Source organism: Homo sapiens, chromosome 1 (assembly GCF_000001405.40).
Source record: "Homo sapiens chromosome 1, GRCh38.p14 Primary Assembly".
In the NCBI taxonomy this organism is placed as follows: Eukaryota; Metazoa; Chordata; class Mammalia; order Primates; family Hominidae; genus Homo; species Homo sapiens.
Window position 1 is genome coordinate 91,778,191 of NC_000001.11, and position 20,005 is coordinate 91,798,195.

The 20,005-nt window shown below is 43.5% G+C and overlaps 1 protein-coding gene across 12 annotated transcripts in view, besides 3 other annotated features; it reads right to left on the reverse strand.

Moving 5' to 3' along the window:
• The window catches only part of TGFBR3 (transforming growth factor beta receptor 3), a 225,660-nt gene that overhangs the window by 97,848 nt on the left and 107,807 nt on the right, over positions 1–20,005 (reverse strand). For 11 of the 12 annotated variants that reach the window (NR_036634.2, NM_001195684.1, XM_047429247.1 and 8 more), the window contains one exon: positions 19,097–19,281. Coding sequence is in view for 10 of the 12 variants with exons in the window: in NM_001195684.1 (NP_001182613.1) it covers positions 19,097–19,281 (185 nt within the window). In the remaining 2 variants the exon portion in view is untranslated. Of the gene's footprint in view, positions 1–7,995; positions 8,017–19,096; positions 19,282–20,005 lie in introns of those variants that run through there. The other variant, XM_047429273.1, reaches the window with a different exon arrangement.
• Positions 7,715–7,918: a silencer, noted in NCBI's record as "fragment chr1:92251462-92251665 (GRCh37/hg19 assembly coordinates)". NCBI's record gives its function as "represses an EF-1alpha promoter that drives an FKBP-Casp9 reporter gene in an ReSE screen in K562 erythroleukemia cells {active_cell/tissue: K562}" and the evidence as "EXISTENCE:reporter gene assay evidence [ECO:0000049][PMID:32094911]".
• Positions 9,826–9,955: an enhancer, noted in NCBI's record as "active region_1307". NCBI's record gives its function as "activates an Ori minimal core promoter by ATAC-STARR-seq in GM12878 lymphoblastoid cells {active_cell/tissue: GM12878}" and the evidence as "EXISTENCE:reporter gene assay evidence [ECO:0000049][PMID:35858748]".
• Positions 18,082–18,376: a silencer, noted in NCBI's record as "tiled region #12731; HepG2 Repressive non-DNase unmatched - State 15:Elon, and K562 Repressive DNase matched - State 7:EnhWF". NCBI's record gives its function as "represses a minimal TATA promoter and a strong SV40 promoter by Sharpr-MPRA in HepG2 and K562 cells {active_cell/tissue: HepG2 | K562}" and the evidence as "EXISTENCE:reporter gene assay evidence [ECO:0000049][PMID:27701403]".

The following is a 20,005-nucleotide window of genomic DNA, read 5'->3' on the forward strand; positions in this document are numbered from 1 at the left end:
ATGAGACACCCTTAGTTTACATTTCAGCTCTTAGGTGGTTCCTTATTCACTGAATGCTGAGGGTTTCTTTAAGGATATTTTGTAGTTTAACAACTCCAGAAATGCTTTTGACTCTAATTCTCAATTGGTATTTTGAAATATTAATTTTCTCAATGTCTTTATATTGACAGAAAATAAAAAAAGAAACTGAGATCCAAATGGGTCTACACATTTGCCCTCAAGTTTAAACAAAAAAGATCACAACAGAGGGAAGACCAAAAAAGAGGGAAGTCTTTTATTAAGACTCACAATCCAGTGCTGTCTTCTATACCTTGAAGCCTTGGTTTAAGAAACATTACTTTATGCCCAAGCCATACATACCAATATCAATAACTAGATCTTCAAAAAATATAATTAATGAGAAACTTCCATATATAGAATTTCTAGACTTAACCTATTTGCTAAACTGCTACATCAACATACTTATTTATTCATGCAAATGTTTATTTCACAAATGTTTCTTGACTGCTTACTATGTAGTGGGCACTGTTCTAATTCCTGGCAATACCAACTAAAGATAAAACATCTATACTGATGATATACTAGCAGAAGAGATAGACAGTGAACATATTTAAAAATAAATATCAGGTGGTAATATAAGTTACATTTTAAAGTAAAACAGTAAAAGAGAGTGTGTCTGTTGTGGGGTGCTATGACTATTTTAAATGGGGTGGTCAATGAAGGCCTCTCAGTGGAGGTAATGGCAAAGCAGGGACTGGGTGAAGGCAGCCACATGAGTAACTGGGAGAAGTACTTCAGGCAAAACAAAGAGCCCATGCCAAGGACAGGAGGCAAGATGTCAGGGCCCACTGCAGCACAGTGAGCAATGGTGAGAGTGCTGGGAGAAGGGGGAAAAGATCATTCAGGGCTCTGGTGGGGATTGCGCATTTTCATTGAAATGTAAAAAACCATGGCAGGAAGCTGAACTGGTGAACTTCGTGACTGGACGGAAGTCTTTCAAAAGATCATGCTGGCTGCCACTTAGAGAATAGATCTTAATTGCTAACAATGATAGCAGCTGACATTTATGGAGTGCTGATGATATTCCACGCACTGTTCTAAGCACCAGTCATGCTTTAATTATTTAATCGTCACAGCAACTCTATGAAGTAGATACTATGATTATGCCCACATGAGGAAAATGAAGCATAAAGAAGTTAACTGACTTGCCCAAAGCCCCACAGCTCATGAGCAGTGTAGCCAGGCTTCCAACACTGGCGCTCTACCCCAGATCTTGCACTCCTAAGAGGGATGGGCCAGAGGCCCACTGCCTCTCAAGTAAAAATGTGATGGTGGGTCAGACCGAAGGTGGTGGTCAGAAGTGGGCAGATTCAGAATATGGTCTTAGGGTAGAACAAATAGGATTGGATATGACATCTGAGCAAACACAGGAAGTCATGGATAATAATGCCAAGGACTGTGGCCCTGGCAACTGTGTGGTAGCGTCCTTTACAGAGCTGGGGAACACAGGAGTAAACAAACTGGAGACAGGAGGGAGCATGGAACTCAAACTAATGTGAGTGTGTGCTCATTTCCCATACTGCTGTAACAAATTACCATAAACTGGGTGGCTTAGAACAACAGAAGGCTATTCTCTCACAGTTCTGGAGGCCAGAAGTCCAAAATCAGCATTGCTAGGCCAAAACCAAGGTGTCAGCAGAGCCACATGCCCTCCAGAGGCTCCAGGAGAGAACCTGTTCCCAGCCTCTTTCAGGTTCTCGTGGCTGCTGGCATTCTTTGGCTTGTGGGTTCCAGACCACCAATCTCTGCCTGCATGGTCACACAGTCTTCCCTTTTGTCTGTGTCATCAAATCCCTGTCTTATAAGGATACATGTGACTGTATTTAGGGGCCACCAGATAATCCAGGATAATCCTCCATCTCACAATTCTTAATTTAATCACACCTGCTAAGGCTTTTTCTATATAAAGGCAACATTCCCAGGTTTAGGGGTTAGAACGTGGATATATCTTTGGGGGCCATTATTTAGCCTATCACAGTCAGGAATACCACAAATAAAAACAATAAAACGTACAGGTGTGGATAAACAGTGAGCAAAGCTTTTCCCTTTTACATGAGAATTTGATCTTCTGTTAACTCTCTCAATTCTGTAACCCTGGTAATCTGGTAAGACAATATGTCAATTATAACACAAGGCAGCTTGCTATTGGGACTGGAAAATTTTAAGACATCTGATAAGAAGTGACATCTGGGGGCTTCCCTGAGAGCAGTGATTCTTGTAAATGGGGCATATTTATGAGACAGAGTACCATGAAAACTATTCCTACATAGTTGCCTACTAGTTCCCGCAAGGGTCTAAGGCTTTTTTTTTTTTTTTTTTTTTTTCTGACATGGAGTTTCACTCTTGTTGCCCAGGCTGGAGTGCAATGGCATGATATTGGCTCACTGCAACCTCTGCCTCCCGGGCTCAAGCGATTCTCCTGCCTCAGCCTCCCAAGTAGCTGAGAATACAGGCATGCGTCACCATGCCTGGCTAATTTTGTATTTTTAGTAGAGACGGGTTTCACCATTTTGGTTAGGCTGGTCTCGAACTCCTGACCTCAGGTAACCCACCCGCCTCAGCCTCCCAAAGTGCTGGGATTACAGGTGTGAGCCACTGCACCCGGCCTTCCTAAGGCTTTTAAACTAGAGAACTACACACACACACACACACACACACACACACACACACACACACACACACAGAGATCTCATCTCCTGGCATTTGAGCCATCAGCTGGAGAGCTCTGGATGGCTATGTGAACTGATGAACTGATGTGTGAACAGTCACAAGGCACACAACAAGGAGGAATGCCTTGCTGCCATGCCGTAAGCTGTGGTCCTTGTCCTATACCCTTTTAAGTATAATGAAGCCACCCATGGCCTATGATAGTCTCATGGGTCTGAATGTTTATTTGGACCCAAGAAGACTCCTTGCCTGAGTTTGTTGCCACATGTAATAATATCGTTTCAGTTCATTATTTCCATTTCTTCCTCCACCACAGTTACTCAGCAGCAAAAAGGAGTAGAGCATTTGTTTCATCTGTTCATGCTCTTGTGTGGCCTCACTCAAACAGCAAAATGGCTAAAAAGGGCAAAGGGAAAGGAAAAGCTAGAGAACAAAAATTAGTAAATTCACAAAAACTGAGCTAACTGTTCCCTCAGGGAGAAGTGAGTACTGCCTACAAGGAACATGCTGCGCTGCCTGTGCTATGCCTTCCAGAGGCCTCTCCAGCAGAATGAAATGTAAAATCCCTAACCCACAGTTCTGCTGGAAATGTGCAAGTGGGCTCATTACTCAGAGCCAAGATAAAGGATAAATCTTTATGAGTACCGTAAGTATGAGTCATAAAAAATAGGAAACATATGTAGGACGTATACACAGTAATAGCACCAAGCCAGAGAAAGTGTTTAGGAAATGTATTTAAGAACACATGACAAAACAGGACGAAAAATTGCCCTTGTACATTGCTCTAAAACACATTTAAAAAAAAAACCTCACAGCAAGTCAAGGGCCCATATCACTTTGCTGATCTCTAATAAACATAGATCATTTCCATATTTGGAAATAGGCTGGCCTTTTTATTTTAAATGCAAATAGGAGAGCTGAATCAAGAAAAAGTAACTTGGAGTAGGCTTTGAAAGATTTTATGATTTGGGAAATTTGAAGAGCTTCCAAATAAAATACTGGGAATTAGATCTTAACAGCATTAAAAATGAACACAAAAGATTCTTTTAGAAAAATAATTGTTCACAATGGTAATATTACCATTTCATTTAGATTCTCACTATCTTAACAACCACTGGAAAAATGAGTGGAATCTTCAAACCTTATGAAAGCAGGAATCAAAAATAAACTGCAACACATGGGCTGACAACATACCGAGAGCAATGAAGGGCCTGCGTGAAAGCCCTCACGGGGATGCTGGGCTCAGCAGGAAGAACTCGCAGCAAGGAAGAAGCAGAGCCCCCTGGCCAAAAGCACCAAGTGACAATCTAGGGGATGAGGGCGTTCAGAATAGAAGGGAGGGTGATCGGCCCCCAGAAGTCTTTTGGGGCCAGATGACTGAGGCAAAATGTATCATCATTGGAAATTAAGCTCTTCAGTTGCCTTTGATTTTGGAAGATGCCCGAATTTAAGACAGCTTGGCAAGGCTAGGAGACACCTACATGCCCATGTGCCCAACACGGAATCATGTGTGTCCCAACGGACCTTTGGCTCCCTTGGACCAGGGCTTTCTCCTTTACCTTCAGAAACTGCTGCCTCCCAAGGAAAGCACTGCTTGCACATCGACTGACCTGAGGTTGAGAGGAGGAGCAGAGGAATGTGGAAAGGATTGTTTTTACCTTCATTAAGTGTTAAATTTACCTAAGACTCCCAGAGAGTCAATGCTCTTCAGGAACTATTCTGAGGCAGAAATTTCAATATAACTTCCACCTCATGAAAAAATCCAACTGTAGGTCATTAAAAGACCCCAGGGGCATGGCGAGGGCTGAGAGGTACGACAGCTCACTTTCGACCTTTTGTGCTCAGGCCTCTCAGCAGTTGCTATACCTCTCTGCCCCTCTCCCCCAAGGCACCTCGGTATGTGCTCACATCACTGGTAGTGAGGCCACACCTCACTCTGGGAGGGGGACTCACCTTTTAAGAAGACATCGATGCAGCTTCCACGTAAACGGGTCCACAGGCATGCAGTCCCTAACCTGTGGCAAGCCCAGTGCTAGGCACAGAGAACCGACAGCCACATCACCGACTTGCTGGAGCAAATTCAAAATGGATCAGATGTGTGTACACATGTATCAACAAATAGAAGTTAAGCCATAATGGGCACAAGGGGACACTTCAGCTCCGGGCAAGAGTTAGGCTATGGTAGTGACCTTGGATCCTAAAGCTGGGCTCTGTCCTTGCTTCACAGTGAGAATCAGTAACACCTCATCTCATTAGCTCTCTTATCTTCAAAAGTATCCAAGTCATACCTGTAATTTGCCCCTCATCCTCCAAGAGTTGTACAAATTTCAGGTTCAGCTGAAGGACTCTGTGGTTCAGGTGGAAAAAAAAAGCCATAAATACAAAGCATTATTGTAGGGTGCTTTGGACTAGAACCCTGTCTAATATCTGGGCCTTGATATTTCAGCCTTTCAGACAAGGCCAAGGAGCTCAGAGACAAGGACTCCTTCAATCAGCCAGCAGTGCCACTGAGGTGCCCCGGCGGGCTGGACAGGAAAGCATGGAGAACATGGCTGCAATGGAAGCCAAAGCAGCAGGTCTTCCAAACACAGACTCAGATGCCTGTGTCTTTAAGACCAGACCCTCATAAATGGATTGCTTCTGCTGGACACCACGCTCTAAATAAACAGACTCTTCTGGCCGACACACAACTTCCTGTAGGATTCTGGTGGGTAAAGCTTGAAAAGGCTGCCAAATCCAATGACCAGCAACTTTTGAGCTGACTTAGAAAACAAGCTACAAAGACTTGAGTCCAGAGTAAACAAAGGAAAAAGCCATATTAAACAGGGAACAAATTACTATATCGGCAGGGATATTTTAAGTACTCACTGAGCAAGAAAACAAAATCAAAAAAATCAAGTTATAAGGTATTTAATAATACACGGTAGAGTAAAATGCCCTCTTTCAGTTAGAGGAATCAAAGTTAATTAATTCCAGCAATATTAAGAATTGGCTGGAGTCACCCCCTACATCATGAGGACAGATCATTCTCAATGGCCCAACTTCAAACCTGGCTCAGATCAAATGAGCAACCCAAGGGAGCTGCATAGAGTTGAAAACCATTTATAGCTTTTTACCCAGCTGACGGAAAGGACTAACTAGTTTACTAGCAGATGACTAAAACCCCTCAGAGTAAAGAAGAATGTAACAAAGATTTAGAAATGGGCTAGGGAAAAGACTGAACAAAGATCTGCAGTTTAGAGTAAAAAATAAGATTAATTAAAAGAGATTTAATTAAAAAAGTAAATCAAAGCAGTCATACAAAATGGAGGACACCTGCTTAGCTCCAATGTTGAGGGGCCTAGGGACCAAACACTAAGTCCACTAATAGAATGCAAAGCAAATAAAGATGCACTATGCAAAAGGAAAGTCATTTAAGAAGACTTTCAGTTATACTCTAAATAACATCCTTGGTGCCATGCAATAACCCAATTTGCATAATGCAAAAAAAGACCCAAGACCTAGTTCCTGCCCGAAAGCAGTCCACTCACCAGCTGAGTGTGCAGAATTAACACACACGATTCAGCAGCAAGTAATACAATAAAACATATAATTCCATACTGTGGGAAGGCACAGGTTGTGGTAGGGGGAAGAAGATTCAGAGCGATGTTTAGAAAAGAAAGAAATGGAGGAGGGTAAAGCAATCAGGCAAGGGTTTGGTGAAGAGCTAAGACCTAAGCATGGGCTTCCAAAGTGGCAAGAATTGAGAGACTGAAGAAAGAAGTCCAGGTGGAATTAAGAATAAGGGCGTGGGGCAAGGGGTTTAGCTGGTAAGCCCAGGGGGAGGCTCAGGAATCTATACATCAAGGGATCCGATGCAGGGGCTTCACACAGCACACACACTTTGAGAAGCCGATCCACAGGATTAAGTCCAAATCCTTACGTGGCCTTTCCAGTCTCATCTTCCACTCAGCCCCAGCCTACCCCCTTCATTGTCTTCATCCTCTATTACAGGAATTGCCAAGCTCTTCCTGCAAAGGGCTGAATAGTAACTATTTAAAGCTTTGCAGGCCATGCAGGTCTCTGACACAATACTCAACTCTGCCACAGTAGTGAGAAGGCAGCCATAGACAACATATTATCAAATGGGTGTGGCTTTAAAACTAATAAAACTTTAAAAACAGGCATCGGACTGATGAATGCATTAACAAAACATGGTATAGCCACACAATGAAAACTACCCAGGAATAAAAAGGAATGAAACAACTGATACATGCTACAACATCGAGGAACCTCAAGTGCTTTACGCTAAGTGAAAGAAGCTAGACACAAAAGATACATATTGCATGATCCCATTCATATGAATGTGCAGAACAGATAAATCTAGAAAGTAGATTAGTGGCTACCTTGGGCTAGTGCCGGGTCGTGGGGGGCACACACAGGGAATGGGAGAGTGACTGTTAATAGATACAAGGTTTCTTCTTAGGGTGATGGAAATGTTGTAAAATTAGATTATGGGCCACTGGTTGCACATTTCTATAAATATACTAAAAACCACTGACTTGTACACTTTAAACAGGTAAACTTTATGGTACGTAAATTATATCTCATTAAAGCTATTTTAAAAACACAAACAGGCAGCAGGCAGAATTCAGTCCTGCCTAGCACCCTTGATCTGTCCACCAGCCACACCGTGTAGGTGAAGAACTTTCCTCCACACCTGGCGCCCACTCTGTGTATATTGAGTCCTCCCATCCCTTGGCTCAACAACACTAATTTGACTTTTAAGCCCTCCGTCAAATGTTCTTTCTTCTGGGAATCCTTCCCTCACTTCCAGAGAGAATGAACACACCCTTTGTTGGGCTTCTGTACTTTTTTTTTTTTTTTTTTAGACAGCGTCTCGCTCTGTCTCCCAGGTTGGAGTGCAGTGGCGCGATCGTGGTTCACTGCAGCCTCAACCTTCGGGCTCAAGTGATCCTCCTGCCTCAGCCTCCCAAATAGCTGGGACCACAGGTGCACACTACTATGCCTGGCTGTTTGTATTTTTGATAGAAACAGGGTTTTGCCATATTGCCCAGGCTGGTCTTGAACTCCTAAGCTCAAGCGATCTGCCCGCCTCAGCCTCCCAAAGTGCTGAGATTACAGGCGTGAGCCACCACAGCTGGCCTTCTGCAAATTTTTAAAATATATTAGTCATATTATTTGTCATGTTTCATTAAATTCATTCTCTCTCAACTCTAATAGGTGCTAAAGACATAAAAATGAGTAAGAATCTGGCAGAGCACCTACCTAGCACACAGTGGGTTCTTAATAGTGATTCATTGAACAGGCCTGTGAATGAATAAACAAATTCATTATGAGAGCATTATTTAGAGAAGTTTGGTTTTATGAAGAGGTTCACAAGCTAGACAGAAAGAATCAGGGTCTAAAGCTGAAGAGGCCAGTCCCAGGAGACCAGTTAAGGAGGCTCCAGGGTAAGTGGAGAAAAACAGAGAAATTCAAGGGCAATTGCAGAGGAAATGTCAATAAAATGTGGTGATTGGCCAAATATAGGGTTTAAAGAGAATGGGCAGGCCAGGTGTGGTGGCTCACACCTCTAATCCCAGCACTTTGGGAGGCTGAGATGGATGGATCACTTGAGGCCAGGAGTTCAAGACCAGCCTGGCCAACATGGTGAAACCCCATCTCTACTAAAAATACAAAAATTAGCCAGGTGTAGTGGCGGGTGCCTGTAATCCCAGCTACCTGGGAGGCTGAGGCAGGAGAATTGCTTGAACTCGGGAGGCGGAGGTTGCAGTCAACCAAGATCGCGCCAATGCACTCCAGCCTGGGTGACAGAGCAAGACTGTGTCTCCAAAAAAAAAGACAAAAAAAAAGAGGATGAGTAAATACAAGATGGTTCAAAAGTTCCAAGATGGATGGTACTGGTGACATTGATGGGTCAGGGAAGCCAGATTGAAAAGCCAGCACTAGGGTCAGGAGAACTGGCCTGGGAGGGTTCTTAAATTCTATTTTAGAGAGAATAAAAATTACTGTTAGCTAGCAGTTGACTGTACCTATACCGGCCCTAAGTGCCACAGAGACATTTCTCAATGGTCAGTGAACCCTCTAAAGAAGTGCTACTAGCTGGGCACAGTGGCTCACGCCTATAATCCCCGCACTTTGGGAGGCTGAGACAGGCAGATCACGAGGTCAAGAGATTGAGACCATCCTGGCCAACATGGTGAAACTCCGTCTCTACTAAAAATACAAAAATTAGCTGGGCGTGGTGGCACATGCCTATGGTCCCAGCTACTCAGGAGGCTGAGGCAAGAGAATCGCTTGAACCCAGGAGGCGGAGGTTGCAGTGAGCCGAGGTCACGCCACTGCACTCCAGCCTGGTGACAGAGCGAGACGCCATCTCACAAAAAGTAATAATTAAAAAAAAAAAAGTGCTATTAACATCTCCATTTTACAGATGAGGAAACAGGGCTTAGGGAATTAAGTAACTCACCCAGGGTCACACATGGGGAGTGGCAGAGCTGAGACTAGCCCTGTATCTAACATGGGAGCGAACCACAGTGACAGCCACTCCTCCAGTCCATATCTGAGGCACCTGGCAGCTCAAGATGGGACCCAAGAGCCGGGATGCTTCAGCCATCTGACTGTAGTTCCACTGGAGAAGCCCAGGCAGAGTTTTTGGAGTTGTAAGCAAGGAAGTGACAAGCAAAATCCTAAGACCAGACAAGCCACCTCAGGGAGAGGAGACAGAGGAAAACAGAAAGCCAAGGGCTATGCCTCAGTCAAGAACCCCCGAGGTTAGGCACACTGGCTCACGCCTGTAAGCTCAGCACTTTGGGAGTCCAAGGCGAGTGGATCACTTGAGCTCAGGAGTTTGAGACCAACATGGTGAAAAAAATACAAAAATTAGCCGGGCGTGGTGGTGTGCGCCTATAGTCCCAGCTACTCAAGAGGCTGAGATGGGAGAATCGCTTGAGGTTGCAGTAAGCTGAGATCGCACCACTATACTCCAGCCTGGGCGACAGAGCCAGACCCTGTCTCACGGGGAAAAAAAAAAAAACCCCAAGAAGAAAGAGTGAGCAGCTGAGAAAGAAACAGAAAAACAGATGGAATGGTAGAATGAGAACCAGGAAACCAAGAGGGAGGTGCCAGAAAGGGAGTGCTTGACAGCACTGGAGGCTTCATAAGCTGGGGAGGAGCAAGAGTGGGGCAGGCAGATGTGTAGAGGCAGCTCTGCAACAGAAGTTGGTGCCCCGAGGGGCTAGTCCAGTGCTAGCACCAAGTTCTTGGTTAATAGTGAACATGTCACCGCTACACCCTCTGGCCTGGTTCCCCTAAGGTATTAGGGCTAGGTGGACCCCAGGGACCCTCTAGTCCTAGCAGCCCTTGAGTTGTTCAAAGGGGCATCATCAGGGTCTCCCCAGAGATTAGCTCAGGCCACAGAGAGGGAAGAAGGGAAAGAAGGACGTACAGATGTTCACTCATTCCAGTGGAGCAGGGGAAGGAAAAGAGAAATAAGCTGACCTGAGGCATCAGAGGGGCCAAGTCATACATGGCCTCTTCATCGTGGAAGAAAGAAAAGTGAAATAATTAAACGTGTCTAAACTTACACAGAAATATTTAGAAAATACCGTGGAAGGAGTGATTGAAGTCAATGCAATAAATACTTCTGCAGAGTTTAAGTATTTAAATCAGCGATTAGCAGTTAAGTTTCCTTTTACTCTCAAACAGAATGTCAAGAAGCAGATAAGCAATGGCAAGGAGAAGGCTCAAGCTGGAAAACTGGAGACGCTGCACACGCATGCACTGGGCCTTTGCCCAATCAGCACATCTGCATCTCAGATTTGCAGAGCTGCTCCTGACTTGGGTCTATTGCTTTTTTTTAATACTCTCCCAAAAGTTCTAAGAGCAAAATGTCACATTTTTAAATGCAGAGAGTGCTCTTGTAAAAACATTGTCTAACAACACTTTCAGGAAATTATATAATTCTTTTTTTAAAGCCAAGGGCAGTTACCATGGCAACAGTAGTACAGGTCAGGGTTCTAACCCTAACCTCCATAAAGACAAAACACCATACTGGTTGGAAAATGCTGCTGCTGGACAAATTTTAAAAGGGGTCAGCTGGGCACGGTGGCTCACGCCTGTAATCCCAGCACTTTGGGAAGCCGAGGCTGACGGATCACAAGGTCAAGAGATCGAGGCCATCCTGGCCAACATGGTGAAACCCCGTCTCTACTAAAACTCTACTAAAAATACAAAAATTAGCTGGGCATGGTGGCGTATGCCTGTAGTCCCAGCTACTCAGGAGGCTAAGGCAGGAGAATCTCTTGAACCCAAGAGGCGGAGGTTGCAGTGAGCCAAGATCGTGCCACTGCACTCCAGCCTAGGCGACAGAGTGAGACTCGTCTCGAAAAAAAAAGGGGGTGTCAAGGCAGTCTCTATCTGGGGGAAGAGGCAATAATGACAGGTTTTTACAATCTGTCCAGCCAGCATAGAACATAAATCGGCATTACCTCATTCTAAAAAGGCCGAGTCCAACCAGGCTCAGTCCCTCTGCCGGGGCAGGGGCTGTACTTTCCTGGGGCAACTTTACAGCATCTGGATATTACTGTGACGAATGACAGGATTTAAGTGACGTGACCAACCTGCATCTTGGTAGGAACGTTTTAACTTCTTAGCTTAGCCTTGTGTCCTGGTTTGTTTCCTAAACCCCGGTGTTTGCTATTACCTCTCTGATTTCTGCTTTCACTTTTTCTAAAAGTCCAAGACTGCATTTTTGGAGAGTTCCTATTGGAGAGTTAGCTGGAATTTTAGATTGAACATCTTGCCCCAAAGTGTTAGACATCATCCTTGACTAGTGTGACCAGTGCCAGCTCTCGCTTGCATTGTCCTCTGTTGTGACAGCTAGCAGATGCATTGCCTTGCTGTCCCTAACCCTGCTCCCCTTTCCAGGCCTGGACTGGCACCTTCACACGACCTAGCAGGGTGTCATTGTTTAAATTGCATTGAGTGTCTTCAAGTAAAGGAGTAACTCTTTTTATATAATATGAGTGTCCTATTCATTCAGGCCCTCCAATCCTATGTGGACAGACAGATTCAGTTGCCTTTGTAGGTAATGAAATGATTTCTATAGTAATACTCAAATAAATGGGGAAGGGAAGAAAGGAGAGAGGAAATGGGCAGGTGGGGAGAGACAGAGAAAAAAGAGAGAGAGAGAGAAATAGTACAGGCATGGGCCACATAACAATGTTTCAATCAACAAGGGACCACATATACAACGGTGGTCTCATAAGATTATAGTACCATAATTTTCCTGTACCTTTTTGACATTTAGGCATGTTTAGGTACACAAATTCTTACCATTGTGTTACAATTGCCTACAATATTCAGCATAGTAACATGCTGTGCACATTTGTAGCCTAGTAGCCATGGGCTATATATACCATATGGCCGAGGTGCGTAGTAGGACATACCATCTAGGTTTGTGTACCTACACTATGATGTTTGCACAACACAATCCCCTAACAACACATTTCTCTGAATGTGTCTCTGTCATGAAGCAATGCATGACAGTATCTGTTAAGGACTGGTGGAAAACTAAATGACCATTTCAGAGGTAATCTTCCCTGTCAAGCTGGGTGATTTCCAGAACAGCTTCCTTTTAAACAAACACCAGGCAGTGCTTATATGCGGAATGTATTTGTTTAGAAACCAAATTTCACTGATATACAGTGTCTGTGTGTGAGGGGTTTCCTTTGACACTTGCTTAGTACATACCACATAAAAGGTATCTCAAACATAAATAGCCCTGGGTTTTTTGTTTTTTCTGCATATGCACAGGACTGCATTAGGAAGTCATTTATGAATAGCAGCAGGGTAAAAAATGCCCCAGATAGAGAAAAGAATGTAGCTAGTTTAATGTTTTTGCTCTCACATATGTACTCTCCCAAAACCCAGCCTTGAGATTTTGTATCAGTTCTTTTAGTGGTGTTGGGCAAGGCACACCCACTCCTCCCCAAGCACTGTATTATCTGAATCTCGATAATCGAGGGGGAAAAAGAGAAAAGGTGTTCGTGTATTAATATTGTGGAAATGGGGAAGGATTACATATAGATAGGTAGGTAGGTAGATAAAGATCTCCAAAATGGTCAATCTTTGAATTGCCAAATTCCCCAATGTAAGCAAAAAGATGTCAAATCAGATGGCGAAGTCTGAATACTGAAGCTCTTGCATATCATTCTTAGCAAGAAGAGTCAGTTAATATGCTAGTTCTCTCTTACCACACAGTTAAAACAAGTTTGGATACAAGACGTAGTAAATTATAAGCAGAGGACAGGTGAGCTATTTGTGTGAACACAGCTGAAGGCCTGGGGGTGGGGGGAATGTTTAACTATGAAAACAGACAAGAACATAAAAGGCCCCTTGGTGGTGCCATTTAGCATGGGGATTAGCAGCCACATAGAGCACAATGGCTCCTGAGCTCAGCCCTGCATTTTATAATTACTGACATGTGGTGTGATAATCCTAAACCATGAAAGGGAAAAAAAGAGACACTGCCACACACAGACCAACTTAATACTGCCCCAAAGCTGCAAGGAAGGGAATCAAAAAGGACTCCAAGCACTGCAAAGAGTTATTACAAACCTATGCACAGAACCCAAACCCTCACTAACAGACCTACTTGCTGGCTGTCTAACAAAGCAGACTCAGCAGACTAGCAGGTTCTGTAGCCCAGAACCAAGTAAGAGCTAAAAGGAAAGGACAACTAGCTGGAGTATGGGAAAAGCTTGCAGCTTGCACTGTAGAATCCAACAGACACAACTCGGGGGCTGGCTCCACAACTCACCATCTGGTTGTATAACCTCCCTAAGCCCAAGCATCCTCTTCTGCAAAAACAGTGACCACCAAGCCTCCCTTTCAGGCTGACGACAAGACTGGCAGAACCAAACAAGTGCCTGGCAGGTGGCTGGCCCACAGGAGACACGCAGTCTTCACCACTACGGCTGCTAGTATTGTCATTTGGGGGATGTGAGAGCTGTTAAGAGGCAAGTCGAGCAGTTAGCACTTGACAGTGTTTACTTCCTTCTCTTTCTCCCCACTGTGGTCTTTCCTGCCCTCAAAAAGAACCAAAAAAGGGACAGCTTTATGCCAATCCTCAGAGAAGGTACAAAGTAAAAGTGACTTGGAGCCACATGTGTGATTAACCACACATCCCATTTGTCTGTGCCTGCCAAAAAGCCTGGAGCCAAATTTCAAACACAATCATACCAACCACATAAACCCAAATGGCTCGCAAGCTGCACCCTTCTTTTTCCCTTGGTCCTCATTCTGTATTTCTGCTTACACTGTTGGTATGCCTGTTGCTGGAGGCTCATCCCAAATCCTCTTTTGGAATGAGGCAGAGAAGCTCATAGGGTTATGAGCTTTTTGACGGGTGAAGTTATTAAACCTGGCCCCTTTCCCATGGTAATGGAGCCTCCTGATCCCCACTCCACCCCTACAGCCAGGCACTGGCACGCCCATTGCTCCTTTAATGTCAAAACAAATGCATAAATTTAAATGTCCATATCTTTTCTACACATATGTAATGGCTAACTTGGGACTTATCCTCAGCAGCTTTTCATAATAAGCAAGCAATTAGATAGGTCAGAAATAGAAAAGACACACCACCACATAAAAGCAGGTCACAAGTAAAAATTAGATGATAGGAAACAAAATTGTTGCCATTCCAGCAACTAATGAAAGTATGTTACTGTAAACAAGCCTCTAATGGTGCTGTAACCCCTCTCAGGAATCAGGAAACGCCCTGAGCAATTAAACTCGGGAGTCCGACACAAGGGGGCGGCTGCATTTTACTTCAAAGTCAGAGGGTACTAGGAGCTGGTTTTCATGGGGATGGAAACCATGACACTGGTCCTCACTTGCTCTAAAAGATAAATCTGATCTCTCAGCATTGTTTATGCTCTTCTGCTGTCCTCTGTTGCCAGAAAGTCATTTTCCAGTTTCCTGTTCGCTTCCAAGGCTGTTGTTTCCGAAACCAATGATTACAAATGAGAGGTGTGTTCTCAGATGAAAAATACAATAGGTCTACTCTGACCCGAGGAGAACCCAGCAGGGAGGCCGATGACAAAACATTGCTTTGGTACTGAGGGCTTTTTATGTACTGTTGTAACAAGTGTGTTTCTGATACAAATTCTCTGCTGGCCTATAAAACTGTTCATCCAACTTAAGCGTTACTGTCTCCCTAAATCTTGTCAACCTGCTGCAGTTACTACTTTTGGGTGTAGGCTCTGTCACCGCCTCTACACAGGAAAATTAAAAATCTCTCCCCAGCTGAAGAACTTTAAGGCACCTGGGAGGTAGGAATTTATTAATAGTAAAATATTAGATATGGGGTGATTTATAATAGATCTTGATACTGATCTTGCACCAATAACAAGCCAAGGGGAAATGGGGCTGATTTAGTAATTCCCTCACATTTAAGGATGACATCATGAAAACCAACTACTCCAGTCTTCAGTCATAGTCAATTACAGCTTGGAGCCAGCACGGTAATTGTTTTGCTAATTTGTAAGTAACGGCACTTATTTCATTTTGAAAAATATTTGCCTTTAATATTTGGTAGAGGCCAGGTGAGGTGGCTCACACCTGTAATCCCAGCACTCTGGGAGTCTGAGGCGGACGGATCACTTGAGGCCAGGAGTTTGAGACCAGACTGGCCAACATGATGAAACTCCATTTCTACTAAAAATATAAAAAATTAGCCGGGCACGGTGGCATATGCCTGTAATCCCAGCTACTCAGGTGGCTGAGGCATGAGAATTGCTTGAACCCGGGAGGTGGAGGTTGCAGTGAGCCAAGATCACACAACTGTGCTCCAGCCTGGGTGACACAGCAAGACTCTGTCTCAAAAAAAAAAAAAAAAAAAAAAAATTGGTAGAGACTGCACAAAGGCTGCCTCTGGCCCTCCTACTATTACCCTCAAAACAGATCAGCTGTTATTTTTAGCATAGACCATATCATGACATATCTACAAAAACCAAGTTATCCATTGAAAATAACAAAAAGCATTAGGTGAGTTTAAGTTGAAGGAGTAAGCAATCTTGGTAAAAGTGAATTGAGCCAACGTAAACTTTATAGACTAATTAGCATGTCAGCAGGTCAAACGGTTTTTTTAAATAGTTTCATTGAGATACAATTCCCATACCATAAAATTCACCCACTTAAATTACAATTCAACAGTTTTTAGTATATTCACAGAATTGTGCAACCATTAAAATTTTAGAACATTTTTGTCATCTCCTCCACCTTTTTTTTTTGTTGTTGAGATGGAGTCTCACTCTGTTGCTCAGGCTGGAGTGCAGCAGCGCAATCTTGGCTCACTGCAACCTCCACCTCCTGGGTTCAAGTCATTCTCCTGCCTCAGCCTCCCAAGTAGCTACGACTACAGGCACCCGCCACCATGCCAGCTAATTTTTGTATTTTTAGTAGAGAAGGGGTTTCACCATGTTGGCTAGGCTAGTCTCAAACTCCTGACCTCAGGTGATCCACCTGCCTCGGCCTCCCAAAGTGTTGGGATTACAGGTGTGAGCCACCTCGCCCGGCCTCCACTTTTTTAAAAAAACATGTAACGTTTAGCAGTCAACCTCCATTTCCTTCTTTCCCCTCTAGCCCTAAGCAATGACTAATTTACTTTGTCTCTATAAATTTCTGTATCCTGAACATTTCACATACATGGAATCATATGATATGTGGTCTTTGTGTCTGTCTTTTTTCATTTAGTGGATTTTCAAGGTTCATCCATGCTGTAGCACCTATCAGTATGCCATCCTTTTTACTGCTCAGTAACACTCCATTGTATGGATATACCATATTTTATTTACCCATTCATCAGAAGATGAAAATTTGGGTTTTTCCACTTTTGGACTAATGCTGCCATGAACAGTCACAGACAAGTCTTTGTGTGGACATGTGTTTTCACTTCTCTCGGGTATATACCTAAGAGTGGAATTGCTGGGTCATGTGGTTCAAATGATTTTTAAAAACTGTTTGCATAGCTGCGGGAATGTTCTCCATAGTCATATGTCAAAAGAGTGAGCGATATTTAATCCTTATACACACCCATCTTACCAACCACAAACAATCTTTCATTCTCTCGTCCTGACCCTCATTCTGATGTTATCCTCTATGCTCACTTTGTATATGCAAACTACTCTGAGATCTGCCGTATGTGAGCAACGCAGAGCCAGATGGAATCTCCAAAAATCAGTTATCCCAAAATCTTGTTTTCAAACAGTATTGAACTACAACCATCTAATTCTTAAAGGTCCGTCTGTTGTCTATTCTCAGAAACATCTTCAAATCACTGGCCCAAAATCATACATATACTATACTAATATCGAAAGAGAATAATGTTCAGGTTTTTAAACAAGTTTGAGACTACCCTTTGTAGGCCCTCTTTCTTTTCTTCCTCACTGAACACACTATGTCCCTGATGCCAGCTAATGTTATGTATCCTCAGTACTGCCAGGTCCTAAAATGAATCCCATTTTGAATAACATAGTAACCAAGTGCAGGAGAGCTCTGCTGTCACTCCTCGAGGTATTTTTCTCTTGTTTCAGTAGTCTTACTCGAATTTGTTTTCAGAGTCAACAACAGTACTGCACAATTTAACGTCAAGAATTTTCTGCTGTTGCTGCTTCTGTAACAGCTTGGACTTTCTTTTCCCTCTGAGTTCCTCTGAGAGAAGCATATATAAAATGAGTAATTGTCGCTGCTAAAGAATTGCTGGAGTCAGCAACGCTTCATAGGAGCTGCATTTCCTCCTCTCCTCCTTTCCCTCTCACCACAAACTCTCCCCCATCAGTTCAGAATTAAAGGCACATTACTGGGATAAAGAAATCTGACCTGAAATATGAGTTGCAGCAACAATGGCAAGCAACCAAGAGTATTAACAATAATTTCCAATGTTGCTGGAAAGGTTAGATGATCTGTCTTTGAAATGAGCCAACTCTGCACACGTTCATGAGATTAAAATCAGCTTGCTTTTCCTTAACATCTCGTGCTTCTCCTCTTCCTACCACCCCAAAAGGATGGGGTGGCTGAGGCACATAAACAAGTGGCTCTGGAAATTAACTTTCTTGACCAGAAGAAAGCTCAAAGATAAATTCCATTCTGCATTACTTTTCCTATACTTCACTATGATCAGGATTTTTTGTGGTTTCTCTCTCCCTGGAGAGCGAATACCTGAGTGATAACATTTCTGACACACAGAAGCTTAAAAACAGAATACTCTGTGTTATCTTGTTGGGAAATCTGTACTCTTAAATGATGACCATTCACCCACAATCTAGGCCATTTTTGAGCCACAGGAAAGAGGACGCCATTTCTCTCTGAAGATGATGACCTTGCGCAAATAAGTTTTCTGCACCTGTTTTGTCACCTGTAAAATGAGTATAATTGTAGGATTCATGGAGTTACTGTATGAGTGCTTCGAACAGTGTTTGGCAGAGTAAATGCTGAGTAACTATGAGCATATATCTTTATCATCACCATCTCCGCTAATGTCACCGCCACCTTTGGGAAGCTGCCTAGATAGTGATAAGGAGCTATGCTCAGGGATTTTCAGGCAAGTACAAAGTACCGCCATCTTTATTCCAGAGTGTTCCCATTTCCCCTCACTCATCCTGCAGAAGCAATAAGTTCATATGACAAAGTAAAGAAAGAAGACAGAGGACACAGGAGGAAATGGGAAAGACATTTCACAACAACAGAGAAAACGGTACCTTATTTGGTTTCTCACAATCATGTTTAAAAGATGAAATTATTATTATTATTTTTGAAACAGGGTTCTGCTCTATCTCCCAGGCTGGAGTGCAATGGCAATCACGGCTCACTCCAGCCTCGATTTCCCAGGCTCAAGCAATCCTCTTGCTTCAGCCTCCCAAGTAGCTGGGACTACATGTGCTAACTACCACACCCTGCTAATTTTTTTTTTTTTTAGTTTTATTTTTAGTAGAGATGAGGTCTTGCTATGTTTCCCAGGCTGGTCTTGAACTCCTGAGCTCATGCGATCCTCCCACCTTGGCCTCTCAAAGTGCTGAGATTACAGGTGTGCACCATCACCATGCCTGGCCTAAAAGTTGAAATTCTTATGAACGTTTTTTTCCAATACGGAGGGCCAGGAAATGGGGAGAGCCAACCAATCTCTAGACAGAGAAATCCTAAAGTTGCCCAATCCAGACAGCAGCTGGTATTTTAAATCTGTTCTCTTATGTTCATACATGAGCTTCTTTTGTTGAACCCCAGAAGAGAAGAAAAGGACTTCTGTCCAGAAAATCATCTCTGCAGACTCAGTGGCAGTGGGCTGAGAGCTGACACCTGCACCTACCTCTCTCTGTAGCTGGCCAGGCCCCTGGCCTGCAGTGCGGAGATTCAGGACATGCACCTCCTGTGGCAGCCCAGTTGTGCCTCTGCTGGCACAGCCTGACAAAACAGTGAAGCTCTCCATCAAGGCCTGGACAGGATGGGAGGCACTGACAGGTGACAGTTCACACAGTGCACCAGGCTCTGGACCTGCCAAGGGAATCACAAACACAAGCCACTCAGAAACAGCAATTAATTCTGCCCCAAAGGGGCAAGGGTGATCAAACCACTGCCAACCCACCAGAGATGCCTTTCCAGGTAAACTGTTCCAAGACTAAGTGGCCAAAAAGCTAGCCTATCTTCTAAAATCCCAATCTCTTAAATTTCTTTTGGATAATTTGGTATGTATTTGATTTTTTAAATTCCCTTTTGGACTCACAAGTCATGAATGCATTCCTCTGGGTAGAAGACACTTCCCATTTAACATTTGTGTTTAATTCCTTCTTCCCTCTTGGTAGAAAATCAGAGATAAAATAAATTGCTTAAAGTCCCAATAATACTATACATAAATAATATTAAATACCTAAAATTGCACTTAACAAAAGTATAAGATACAGATCCTATCTTTTCAGAGCTTCCCTTTATTAGGGAAAGCAAAACAAACTTAAGAACAATACAGAGCAAGATGTAACATGTAGAGGCGATCAGGGCCAGAGCTGTACAGCAAAATTTGGGCCAGAGGTCAGAAAAATCCTCCCAAAAGAAGTAGGATCTGAGCAGAGCCTCAAATAGAAAAAGTAGAGTGCTGGTCATACTTGGTTCCTGCTTCTTCATTCCCTCTTCCTCTAATCAGTCAAGCCTTAAATCCTAAATCCATCCACTCCTCTCCATCTCTACTTCTTTACCAACCCTAGACAATTACAAACCTTCCTGA